Consider the following 13,423-nt stretch of genomic DNA (forward strand, 5'->3'; position numbering starts at 1 on the left):
ACATCCAGGTGTTTCCATACATCTTCTCAAACTTAGGTGGAGGTTCCCAAACTACAATTCTTGCCTTCTGCACACCCACAGGCTCCACATCACATGGAAGCTGCCAAGGCCTTGCACCCTCTGAAGCAGCGGCTCAAGCTGTACTTTGGTTTCTTTTAGCCAGTCTCTGCTCTGGCTCCCTTTTAAACATAAATTCCATTTCAGACCATTTCTTTGTGAATGCATATGACTATACACTTTCAGGAGAAGCCAGGTCACACCTTGAATGCTTTGCTGCTTAAAATTCTTTTTTTTTTGACAGATACTCTAATTATCTCTTTCAAATTCATAGTTCCACAGATCTCTGGGGCAGGAACTTCATAGTTCCGCAGATCTCTGTGCCCCAGCCCATGAAACAATTTTTCCCACCTAGGCCTCTGGGCCTGTGATGGGAGGGGATGGCAAGAAGATCTCTGAAATGCCCTGGAGACATTTACCCCATTGTCTTGGCTCTTAACATTTGGCTATTCTTTATTTATGCAAATATCTACAGCCAGAGACTTTAATTTCTTCCCAGAAAGTGGGTTTTTCTTTTCTACCACATGGTCGGGATGCAAATTTTCCAAACTTTTGTACTCTGCCTCCCTTGTAAACATAAGTTCCATTTCAGACAATCTCTTTGTGAATACATATGACTATGTGCTTTCAGAAGAAGCCAGGTCACATCTTGCATGCTTTGCTGCTTAGAAATTTTTTTGACAGTTACGCTAATTTTCTCTTTCAAGTTCATAGTTCCACAGATCTCTGGGGCAGGGACAAAATGCCACTAGTCTCTTTGCTAAGGCATAGCAAGAGTCACCTTTGCTTTAGTTCCCAATAAGTTCTTCATCTCCATCTGAGACCACTTCAGCATGGACTGAATGCTAATATCACTATCAGCATTTTGGTCACAGCCATTAAACAAGTCTCTAAAGAGCTCCAAACTTCCCTACATCTTCTTGCCTTTTTCTGAGCCCTCCAAACTGTTCCAATCTCTGCTTCCAAAGCCACTTCCACATTTCAGGCATCTTATAGCAGTGCCCCAAACTTCTGGTACCAATTTTCTGCTTCTCTTTGAAGGTCACTGCAGCCATCAGCTTCACAGAATTTACTTTTCTTCACATCGCTGTTTTTTTTTTTTTTTTTTAACACTGCAGCCCCTCCCTGCCTGGCCTGTGCTTCCCACCAACGATGACCTTTCTGCAACTTCAGTGCCAGTGGAATCCCAGATCTGCGGCTGCTTCTGAGCACTGCTGACTGCTTCTAGGTCCCAAAACCACCAATCAGAAGAGCCAAACCATGTCACTCATCAAAGGTAGACCCATAGACAGCCCTTCTGGAACTGCAGGGTGACTGCATTCCCACAGAAGGAGCACCCTCCAGGTCCAGGCCTGCATGGGAAATAGAGTCACAATTCCTCTCTATTTAGACATTCCTGAAGATGAAAAGAGGTGCTTGTCTAATCTGAATAGCTGGAACACTCGTTCAAGAGTGTGTTTGGGAAGTGAGTAACTTTCCTGGGAGCTGAGTTGGCTCCAATCCTTCTATCTGAGAAGATCTCAGTGTGTTTCACTGAGAGCTCCCCCAGCCACCTATGTCAAGGCTGGGACCTCTGCCCACCATTGGGTACTGCATTATGCACCTGCTTTAGCCACAGCAGGTTTTTACCAGGGGCACCTCCTCTTTGGGCCTGAAGCCTGAGGTATTCAACCAAGTAAATAAAATACTAGGAGAAAATAAAGAAAGAAAGAAATACACAGACTACAGAGGAATAAGATAAGCTTCAAGAGACTTCTGCCATTCCAACCCTAGAGGAGAAAGTGAACTTGTTCACACACTGAGCACACTGCTGCTACAACCAGAGCCAAGAAAGCCATCAGACAAAGACTCTCTATAACTGAGGAAATCATACAAACTCTTCACTCCTGAAAGCACCAAGACCTGAATTAGTCTAGAAGAAACAATAAACATCCTTCAGGAAGAAAAAAGAAATTGAAGAAACAGTCAAATAAAAAATAAATTCAAGTATAATTAGAAGAAATAATCTAACCAAATAAGAGAAATCAGAAAGATATTTCTGGTGCTATGACAAAATAAGGTGCTATAACTGCCCAAAATATCACACTAGCCCCCCCCCCCCCAGCAATGGATCCAAACCCAGACAAACCTTTTGAAACACCAAATTTTAAAAATTCAAAAATTTGATTATTAAGCTATTCCAGAAGGTGTCAGAGAAAGGTGAAAACCAACATAAAGAAATTTTAAAAAATTTTAGGATACAAATAAAAACTTTTCTAAAGAGATAGATATCTTAAAGAAATGCAAATCAGAATTTCTGGAAATGAAAGGTACACTTAGAGAATTACAAAATGGAGGGGAAAGTTTCAACAATGGACTACAAAGGGAAGAAGAAAAAATTTCATAGCTCACTGATATGGTTTGGCTGTGTCCACATCCAAATCTCATCTTGAATTGTAGTTTCTGTAATCCCCACAAGTATGGCAAGGACCAGTGGGAAAAAACTAAATCATGGGGGCTGTTACCCTTATGCTGTTCTCGTGATACTGAGTGAGTTTTCACAAGACGTGATGGTTTTATAAGGGGCTATTTCTCCTTTGCTTGGCATTTCTCCTTCCTGCTGCCCTGTGAAGAAGTTGCCTTTCTTCCCCTTCACCTTCCACCATGATTGTTAATTTCTTGAGGCCTTCCCAGCCATGCAAAACTGTAAGCCAATTAGATCTCTTTCCTTTATAAATTACCCAGTCTTGGGAAGTTCACAGAAGCATAAGAACAGACTAATACACTCAGAGACAAGGGTTTTGAATTAACCCAATCAGAAAAAAAGAAAGAAAGATGAATACAAAGAAATGAGCAAATTCAAAATACCGATGAAACAAAAAGTTGGTTGAGAGAATAAAAAAATTATACGTTATTAGCTAGATTAACCAAGAAGAGAAGAGAGAAGATTCAAATAAGCTCAATTAGAAATGAAACTGGAAGCACATGGTTTCTAAAGTCACCTGCTTGACCCTCTTCCAAGTTGTACTTTCCTTCTTTTCTCTCTTTTCCTTATTATTCTAAAGCTTTTTAATAAACTTGCACTCTGGCTCTGAAAAAAAAGTAATGAAACTGGGGACATTACAACTGACCCTACAGAAGTACAAAATAACATTTGAGATTATTATAAACACCTGTATGCATGCAAACTAGAAAACCTTGAGGACAACCTAGATTAGGAGGGTTATAAGTTTCCAGGAATTTATCCATTTATTCTAGGTTTTCTATTTGTGTGCATTAAACCAGGAAGAAATAGAAATCCTGAACAGACCAAAGGTAAGCAGCAAGGTTGAATCAGTAATAAGGAAAAATTGTCAACAACAAAAATGCCCAAGGCCAGGTGGCATCACGGATCATTTCTACCAGGCATTCAAAGAAGATTTGATACCAACCCTAGTGAAATTATTCCAAAAGGTAGACAAAGAGGGAATCCTCTTTAAATCTTTCTATTAAGCCAGTATCACCCTGACACCAAAACTAGGAAAGGACCTAACCAAAAAGGAAAACTATAGACTAATATTCCTGATGAACATAGATGCAAAATCCTCAACAAAGTACTAACTTACCAAATCCAATAACACATCAAGAAGATATATACAATGATCAAGTGGGTTTCATCTCAGGGATACAGGGATAGTTTAATATATGCAAGTCAATCAATGTGATATATTATATAAACAGAATGAAAAACAGAAACCGTATGATCATCTCAATAGATGCAGAAAAAACATTTGATAAGATCCAGGATCGCTTTAAGATAAAAATGCTCAACAAACTGGGCCTAGAAGGGACTTACCTCAAATTATTGAAAGACATATATGACAAACCCACAGCCAACATTATTACTGGATAGATAAAAGTTGAAAGCATTCTCCCTGAGAACTGGAAGAAGACAGGGATGCCCACTTTCACCACTTCTTTTTTTTTCTTTTTTTTTAAATTATACTTTAAGCTCTAGGGTATATATGCACAATGTGCAGGTTTGTTAAATAGGTATACATGTGCCATGTTGGTGTGCTGCACCCATTAACTCGTCATTTACATTTGGTATATCTCCTAATGCTATCCCTCCCCCATCCCCTCACCCCACAACAGACCCCGATGTGGGATGGTCCCCTTCCTGTGTCCAAGTGTCTCATTGTTCAGTTACCGCCTATGAGTGAGAACATGCGGTGTTTGGTTTTTTGTCCTTGCGATAGTTTGCTGAGAATGGTAGTTTCCAGCTTCATCCATTTCCCTACAGAGGACATGAACTCATCATTTTTTATGGCTGCATAGTTTTCCATGGTGTATATGTGCCACATTTTCTTAATCCAGTGTATCATTGATGGACATTTGGGTTGGTTCCAAGTCTTTGCTATCGTGAACAGTGCTGCAATAAACATACGTGTGCATGTGTCTTTATAGCAGCATGATTTATAATCCTTTGGGTATATACCCAGTAATGGGATGGCTGGGTCAAATGGTATTTCTAGTTCTAGACCCTTGAGGAATTGCCACACTGTCTTCCACAATGATTGAACTAGGTTATAGTCCCACCAACAGAGTAAAAGTGTTCCTATTTCTCCACATCCTCTCCAGCACCTGTTGTTTCCTGACTTTTTAATGATCGCCATTCTAACTGTGTGAGATGGTATCTCATTGTGGTTTTGATTTGCATTTCTCTGATGGCCAGTGATGATAAGCATTTTTTCATGTGTTTTTTGGCTGCATAAATGTCTTCTTTTGAGAAGTGTCTGTTCATATCCTTCACCCACTTTTTGATGGGGTCGTTTGTTTTTTTCTTGTAAATTTGTTTGAGTTCATTGTAGATTCTGGATATTAGCCCTTTGTCAGATGAGTAGATTGCAAAAATTTTCTCCCATTCTGTAGGTTGTCTGTTCACTCTGATCATAGTTTCTTTTGCTGCGCAGAAGCTCTTTAGTTTAATTAGATTCCATTTATCAATTTTGTCTTTTGTTGCCATTGCTTTTGGTGTTTTAGACATGAAGTCGTTGCCCATGCCTATGTCCTTAATGGTATTGCCTAGGTTTTCTTCTAGGGTTTTTATGGTTTTAGGTCTAACATTTAAGTCTTTAATCCATCTTGAATTAATTTTTGTATAAGGTGTAAGTAAGGGATCTAGTTTCAGCTTTCTACATATGGCTAGCCAGTTTTCCCAGCACCATTTATTAAATAAGGAATCCTTTCCACATTTCTTGTTTCTGTCAGGTTTGTCAAAGATCAGATGGTTGTAGATGTGTGGTATTATTTCTGCGGGCTCTCTTCTGTTCCATTCTCTATATCTCTGTTTTGGTACCAATACCATGCTGTTTTGGTTACTGTTGCCTTGTACTATAGTTTGAAGTCAGGTACTGGAAGTCCTATTCTGAACAATCAGGCAAGAGACAGAAAGAAAGGACACCACTTCTATTCAACATAGTACTGGAAGTCCTATTCTGAACAATCAGGCAAGAGAAAGAAAGAAAGGACATCCAAATAGGAAAAGTGGAAATCAAACTATCATGGTTCACTGCTGATATAATTGTATACCTATAAAGAACTAAGGACTCATCCAAAAGACTCCAAGATCTGATAAACAAATTCAGCAATGTCTAAGGTTCCAAGATCAATGCATACAAATCAGTAGCATTGCTGTACATCACCAACAACCAAGCTGAGAATCAAATCAATAACTGAATTTGCTTTACAACAATTGCAAAAAATATTAAATACATAGGAATATATTTAACCAAGACAGTGAAAGATCTCTACAAGGAGAACTACAAAACACTGCTGAAGTAAATTATAGATGACACAAACAAATAAAAACACATCTCATGCCCATGGATTGGAAGAATCAGTATTGTAAAAGTGACCACACTGCCCAAAGCAATCTAAAGATTCAATGCAATTCCCGTTTTAAAAACCACATTATTTTTTCAAGAATTAGAAAAGACATTCTTAAAGTTCATATGGAACCAAAAAGGAGCCTGGATAGACAAAGAAATCCTGAGCAAAAAGAACAACTCTGGAGGCATCAAGTTACTGGACTTCAAGTTTTACTTCAAGGCTATATTTAGCAAAACAGCATGGTACTGGCATAAAAGTAGGCACATAGAGAACTGGAACAGATTAGAGAACCCAGAAATAAAGCTAAATACTTAGAACCAACTGATCTTCAACAAAGAATTCAAAAACGTAAATTGAGGAAAGTACGCTTTATTTAATAAGTGATGATGGGAAAACTGGCAAGTCACATGCAGGAGAATGAAACTGGATCCCTGTCTCTCACCTCATACTAAAATCTACTCAAGATGTATCAGAGACTTAAATGTAAGACCTGAAACCATAAAATTTCTAGAAGAAAACCTAGGAAAAACTCCTCTGGACATTGGCTTCGGCAAAGAATTTATGACTAAAACCACAAAAGCAAATGCAACGAAAATAAAAAAAATATATGAGATCTGATTAAATTAAAAATCTTCTGCACAGCAAAAGAAATAATCATCAAAGTAAACAAACAACTCACAGCATGGAATAAAATATTTGAAACCTATACATCCGACAAAGGACTACTATCCAGAATATACAAGGAACTCAAACAAATCAGCAATAAAAAAAATAAATCTTTCCATCAAAAAGTGGGCAAATGACATAAATAGCCTGAAAGAAGATATACAAATGGCCAACAATCATATGAAAAAATGCTCAACATCAGTAATCATCAGGGAAATGCTAATTAAAACCATAATGAGATTCCACCTTACTCCTGCAAGAATGGTCGTTATTGAAAAGTCAAAAAACAATAGATGTTGGCATGGATGTGGTGAAAGGGGAACACTTATACACTACTGGTGGGAATATAAATTAGTACAACCTCTATGGAAAACGGTATGAAGATTCTTTGAAGAGCTAAAAGTAGATCTACCATTCAATTCAGCAATTCCAGTACTGGGCATCTACCCAAAGGAAAATAAGTGGTTATGTGAAAAAGACACATGCACATGTATGTTTACTACAGCCTAATTCACAATTACAAAAACATGGAACCAGCCGAAGTGTCCATCAGTCAATGATTGGATAAAGAAAATGTGGTATATATACACGGTGGCATATTACTCAGCCATAAATGGAATAAAATAATGTTAATTTGCAGCAACTTGGTTGGAGCTGGAGGTCATTATTCTAAGTGAAGTAACTCACGAATGGAAAATCAAACACCATATGTTCTCACTTATAAGTGGGAGCCAAGTTATGAGTATACAAAGGCATATAGAGTGATATAATGGACCTTGGAGTCTCCAAGGGAGAAGGGTGAGAGGGAGTATATGCGATAAAAAAAAGAACTACATATTGGGTGCAATGTACACTACTCAGATGATAGGTGCATTGAAATCTCAGAATTCAGCACTATATAATTGACCCATGTAACCAAATACCACTAGTACTCCCAAAACAATTGAAATCTGAAAATATATTAATTAAAAAATAATGTTACCTACTTCAACAGATTATAATTAAGATTATATTACATAATCCTGACAAACAGTACAGTGAGTATTAAAATTTCTCAGTAAATATTAGCTATAATATAATTATTAGACTATTTTTCATTAGCTTAGAGAGAAGTTTCGCCATTGATAGAAGTGAGGTTAAGAACAGAGGCTGTCAAAGTGTGACCTCCAGAGCAGTAGCATTAGCATCCTGGGAACTTGTCAGAAACAAATTTCTGGGTCCCAGGCAGCTCTTACTGAATCAAAAACTCTGCAGCAATTTGGGTTTTTAGCAAATTCTCCAAGTAATTATGATTCATGCAAAAATTTGGGAACCATTGAATCTGACAGCTGATACAAGTATTTCCAATCTGCATAAATATTTTGAATTCAATCATTTGTCTTTTCTTGAAGTGGACTGATCACATCACTTAAAAAATAATCATATTAATTGCATGCACAATATCCTTAGTATTCCAAAATTTACTTGTCTTCTAAATTTTCTTTGTTACCTGTCAGAACAATATTATCAAAATAACAATAATCTAATCATTCAAATATAGACAGATGATAGACAGATGATAGATTATAAATAAAGTGTGAAATAGGCTACATGGTTTGTAACCTCAATAATTATACAGTTTTTTATATGTGACAAAACACTCACGTGTAAATAATATTGTAGTCATTGTATATCAAAATAAGGATAATAATCAAAAAGTTAAAAAAATTTTAAAAACTGAGCATTTATAATGTATGGCTTGCCATGAAGTAATGTTTTCAGCTTTAAAAATGTTTAAGTTACGTACACACATCTATATATACACACATCTATATATATATATATATATATACACATACACATATATATGAATAATTTATTCCAATAATTAAAAAATAATGAATTTGGTCTAGCTAAATATAGGTGCATTTTAGAAATAGATAAGAAATTGTAAAAATATCAGCCAATTGTTAAACTCACAGTCTTTGATTACCTGAAAGAATTCTGTGCCTGGCCGGGCACAGTGGCTCACACCTGTAATCCCAGCACTTTGGGAGGCCAAGGTGGGCAGATCACCTGAGGTCAGGAGTTTGAGACAAGCCTGGCTAACATGGTGAAACCCTGTCTTTACTAAAAATACAAAAATTAGCTGGGCTTGCTGGCGTGCGCCTGTAGTCCCAGCTACTTAGGAGGCTGAGGCAAGAGAATCACTTGAACCCAGGAAGCGGATGTTGCAGTGAGCCGAGATTGCACCACTGCACTCCAGTCTGGGCAACAGAGCGAGACTCTATCTCAAAAAAAAAAAAAAAAAAAAAAAAGAAGAGAATTCTGTGCCTTTTATCCCTGTCTGTTTATGTGTGCATGTGCATGTGCAGATCCAGTCTCAGAAAAGTATAAGAATGCAAACACCGCATATTCTCACTCATAGGTGGGAATTGAACAATGAGAACACATGGACACAGGAAGGGGAACATCACACTCTGGGGACTGTTGTGGGGTGGGGGGAGGGGGGAGGGATAGCTTTAGGAGATATACCTAATGCTAAATGACGAGTTAATGGGTGCAGCACACCAGCATGGCACATGCATACATATATAACTAACCTACACATTGTGCACATGTACCCTAAAACTTAAAGTATAATAATAATAAAAAAAAGAATGCTTGCTTACAAATTGTGTTTCTTTAGCACTTAATGTTGTTTTGTGTTTTTCAAAAAAACAGCATCCAAATATACTGGTTGACAATTTGTTTCCAGTTTTTTTCTATAAATGACAAATAGGATATTTAATTTTTGTCTAGCGTAGAGAAGAAACATTATAATTTTGACAAAAATATGGTTTCACCTTTCATATAAAATTCTAAACCCGGTAGCACACTTACCTGAAAGGTGAGAAATATGACATTGCCCCAGTAAGTGACAACATCTGTGGTGCTATCACAAGGCTAAATTCCTTTATTGTGTCTTTTATAAGATACTGTTAAGTCTAGCAAAATACCATTTTGAGATGCTACTTAAACGTGGCTCAGAATAAATAAAAAATTGTCAAAGAAACGTTTTAAATTAACACTTCTGATTTTAAAATATAAAGCAATCAAAGACAGTGGTTTTCCAACGTGAACACACCGGGTATCAGAGGAGTATTATTGAGGCAATGTAAAGAGTATGACAGAAATCACTGACACAGCCACTAGGGATGCACGAAGCCATTCATAAGATATGTCATTGGTGTATTTTATCTGCTCCACTTACAATAAATCCTATGTTCTTGAAAGAATGTCATATTTATACTCTCAGGAACTGCCTTGTTAGTCATGTAGTTTAGTAACAGTGCCAAAAATAGTTCAGACTTTCTTGACCTTCTCTGTCTAGCATATAAACCTTAACCTGGAAGGAGCAGCTTTGAAGTCAGAGGGCAGTTATAGATCTGTCTGATTCTGATCCTTAGTTTCTCTACTGAGATTGCAAACACTCACTTGATATATTACATAAAATATTCTTTCATACTCCATCATGAACAGTACAAATAGTATTTAAACCCATCATATCTTTCCAAATATCACTTGTGCAATTATAATATGTTTTTCTTTTAGAAGGAATACATTGTCTTTCATAATTATATAAAATTAAAAATTGTGTTACACAACATGAGTTGTTTACTTCTATGAGCTGTGCAACGTTTGATGATGTCCTTTTTGAGGACACAAAAGCAGATATTGACATGCAGTATCATGCATGTGTTCTTAGAGAAGAGTTTAAATATGAAGATGATGGTATAGCCATCAGTTGGGATCTCAAATAAATTGTTTAATAAGTGTATTTCTATATTCAAAAGGCTGAAATAAACTTAAATCTTTTATGGCATTGCCCTTTTATGAATTGGCTTAGCTTATGTATTCTAAATGCCCATAAGTGATATTTTTTGGCTTCTTACTTCTTTATAACCAATCAAATTACATTTATAAAAGATTATTTAAATAACATTATCAACTAATATAAATATTTCAAATGTCTAGCAAGGCTGTAATTTATATATTCAAATATATCGTTCTAAAAATATTTGTACAAAGATAGAAATAATATTAGGTCACGCATAATGTATGTAGTGACTAAATTAAAAAGAAAGAGGAATTAGGTATAAAATTCCATTATTCTCCACCATACTTTCCTATGTGTTATAAAATTTAAGCAAATATGTCTTCAAGTCATGTTACATTATCTTCATAGTAAATTAATTTTTTCAATCACTGTGAGTAAATTGAGACATAACTGATAATTTGGAATTAGTTATATAATTAATTTTGTCAGTGCATTACAATTTTTAAGAGACCGTCTGTCTATAAAAGGATCTTAAGAAATTAGATTGGAAAATTACTATTATAACATTCTAAAAGCATAATATTAGAACTACAAGACCTTAATTATTTAGCACGAATCAAGTGACCTGACAAACTCAAAGTGCTAAATTGGCAATCTGTTTACCCGAGTATTTTCAGTAAGTTTTGTCTACTTTATAAGAAGACTGACAGGGATTGCTTTTTGCTATGAGACAGCCAAGATGACCTTTGAGTTCCCTCCTGAATTCTGAAGAAGAAACAAGTAAGATGGACAGGCTTGGTCAATTCTGATAATCAAAGGGCCACTTGACATTTTTAGTGAAGAGAAATAGAAATTCTAACGAGAATGTTTGGATAATACTAATTAAGGTGAGCTTGGTGGTATAAAAGTTATCACACCCACTCTCAAGGGCCACAGACACAAGTCACAAATAAACTTAGATATTGAATAGTGAAAAGATGGTGAATACAATTGGAACTGGAGAAGCAGAGTGAAGAATTAACTCCAAATTGACTAAATTGTCAAAGTCTAAATTCTTAACCCTGAATCTAATTAAACAACAGGTGATAATGGTTAATTTAAAAATGGATGCTTAGTTAATTAGCTATATCCGAGCATAATACCATTTTAGTAGCAAGTAAAAACCATAATTATATTAATAGCAGATTTCTAACACTTAATTTGTTGATATCCTAATTATAGGATTTGTTTTAACTTTATGAAAGAAAATGAAGCATCTAAGTCTGCTTTTAACAAAATAACTCATGTTCTTCAGGGCATATGACAAAAATCTATTTCAGTGTAAACATTAGTGAGAAAATATCCACAGAGAGTAAAGCCCATGAAGTTAGTAAAATAGTTTTATTATTTTGTGATACTATATAGCTAAATTAAATTGGCTACATTGTTTCATAAATACATCTAGTGTGGAGAGAGAGAGAGAGTGAGAGAGAGATAGAGAGAGACTATGTATATTTAAATGTGTAAAGAAGAAGCAGACCATTCTGCTCTTTTGTTCATGCAACTCTCTATCTGCTCACTTAAAGACACATTGGCATTTGAGACCTAAAATTGTTACTTTGTTGTTGAAATAAAGAATGAACGGAAAGTCAAGGACATTGATTTTGATGACAATATTGTCAAGATCTGTATTTTAGGAGGAAGTATGTAATATTTTTATTTTATAAAAAAGTAGATCTTTAGGGAGAATGCATTTAGGGCAACTTGAATCTGTCTCCTCAGTTTAAAAAAATAAAAGATCTTTGGCAATTTACTAAATAGTTCATTTATTTTGAGTAGTGATTACTAGATATTTATCATCAATAAATTCTATCAGTTTGAATTTTAAAAGTAAATAAGCCCCAAATTCTAAAAATTTAAGTTTAAATTTTATACAGTTTTACAAAACTAAGAATTATCAAATAAAAAATGCATGGTCCAAGAGCTTCTAAAGCTTTGAAAATGTTTAGTATTTATATGTCATGTAATGTGCATTGGACACTAGGTTGTTTCCTTCAGAGCGGACCCAGTTAGCATTCATTCATTTTTCCAAACATCACATAATTGACTCTTAAAATTGCTACTTAGTTCATCTAAATTTATTTTCAACATTCTTCTAGAAAATCTGGAGCTGGGGTTTCTCAAATTATTATCTGAAGTCATGTAGAAACAAACATTTCAACACTTAAAAAACTTTTACGAATTAAAATCAATTATTCACAACTAAAAGAAAATTAGCCATTACTTCATTTTACAGACAAGTCGGGGAATATATGCTGTGTTGTTGAAATGGCAAACATAATTTCTGCAGTGTAATACAATGGAAAGAAAAGACAGATATTTTTGGTTACTGTCTTGGTTTTGTCTTCTCAAAAAAACAAAAAACAAAAAAAAAAAAACAAGAAAAAACCAGTTTGCTCTATGAGGATTGCTCATAACTTTTTTGCAGCTCTCACAACATTAAAAAAAATAAAGTTGGAGTTTATTCTGTATGTAAAATATTGGCATTAATGTGGATTAATTTAAAAGATTGGTGAGGTTAAAATTTCCTAATATTATTATAATTGTTATTATAGGTATATTAATTAAATATTTATTTGGGGTGGTAGAGATTAGAGAGGTAAAGGTAGGAGGAGAGAAACAGGGAATTAGGAAAGAACTGGTATAGATAAGAACAAAGTAGGAGATAAAGCAGATTGGAACAAAAGAGACATTTATATCAAGGGGACAAAAAGGCCCCATAATGGACCGTTAACAAAAAAAAATCAAATATTCCATTATTTCTTCAGAATATGTTAATTGAGTGGATAAAATGGAATAAATATTTTTGGTGTATAGATTATACCATTGATCAAGGGAGACTTGGACTTGCCTCAAACGTATGTTCAGTTACCAGGTTTTAAATACTGATTCAGAAATAAACTCCCCTATGAATCTTTGCCATACATAAAATGTGGGAGTAGATATAACCTGCTCTGATTGAAGAAATATGAATATTAATATGCCCAAATGTAAGGACTTCAACATGGTGGA

Source organism: Homo sapiens, chromosome 21, assembly GCF_000001405.40.
Source record: "Homo sapiens chromosome 21, GRCh38.p14 Primary Assembly".
NCBI lineage: Eukaryota > Metazoa > Chordata > Mammalia > Primates > Hominidae > Homo > Homo sapiens.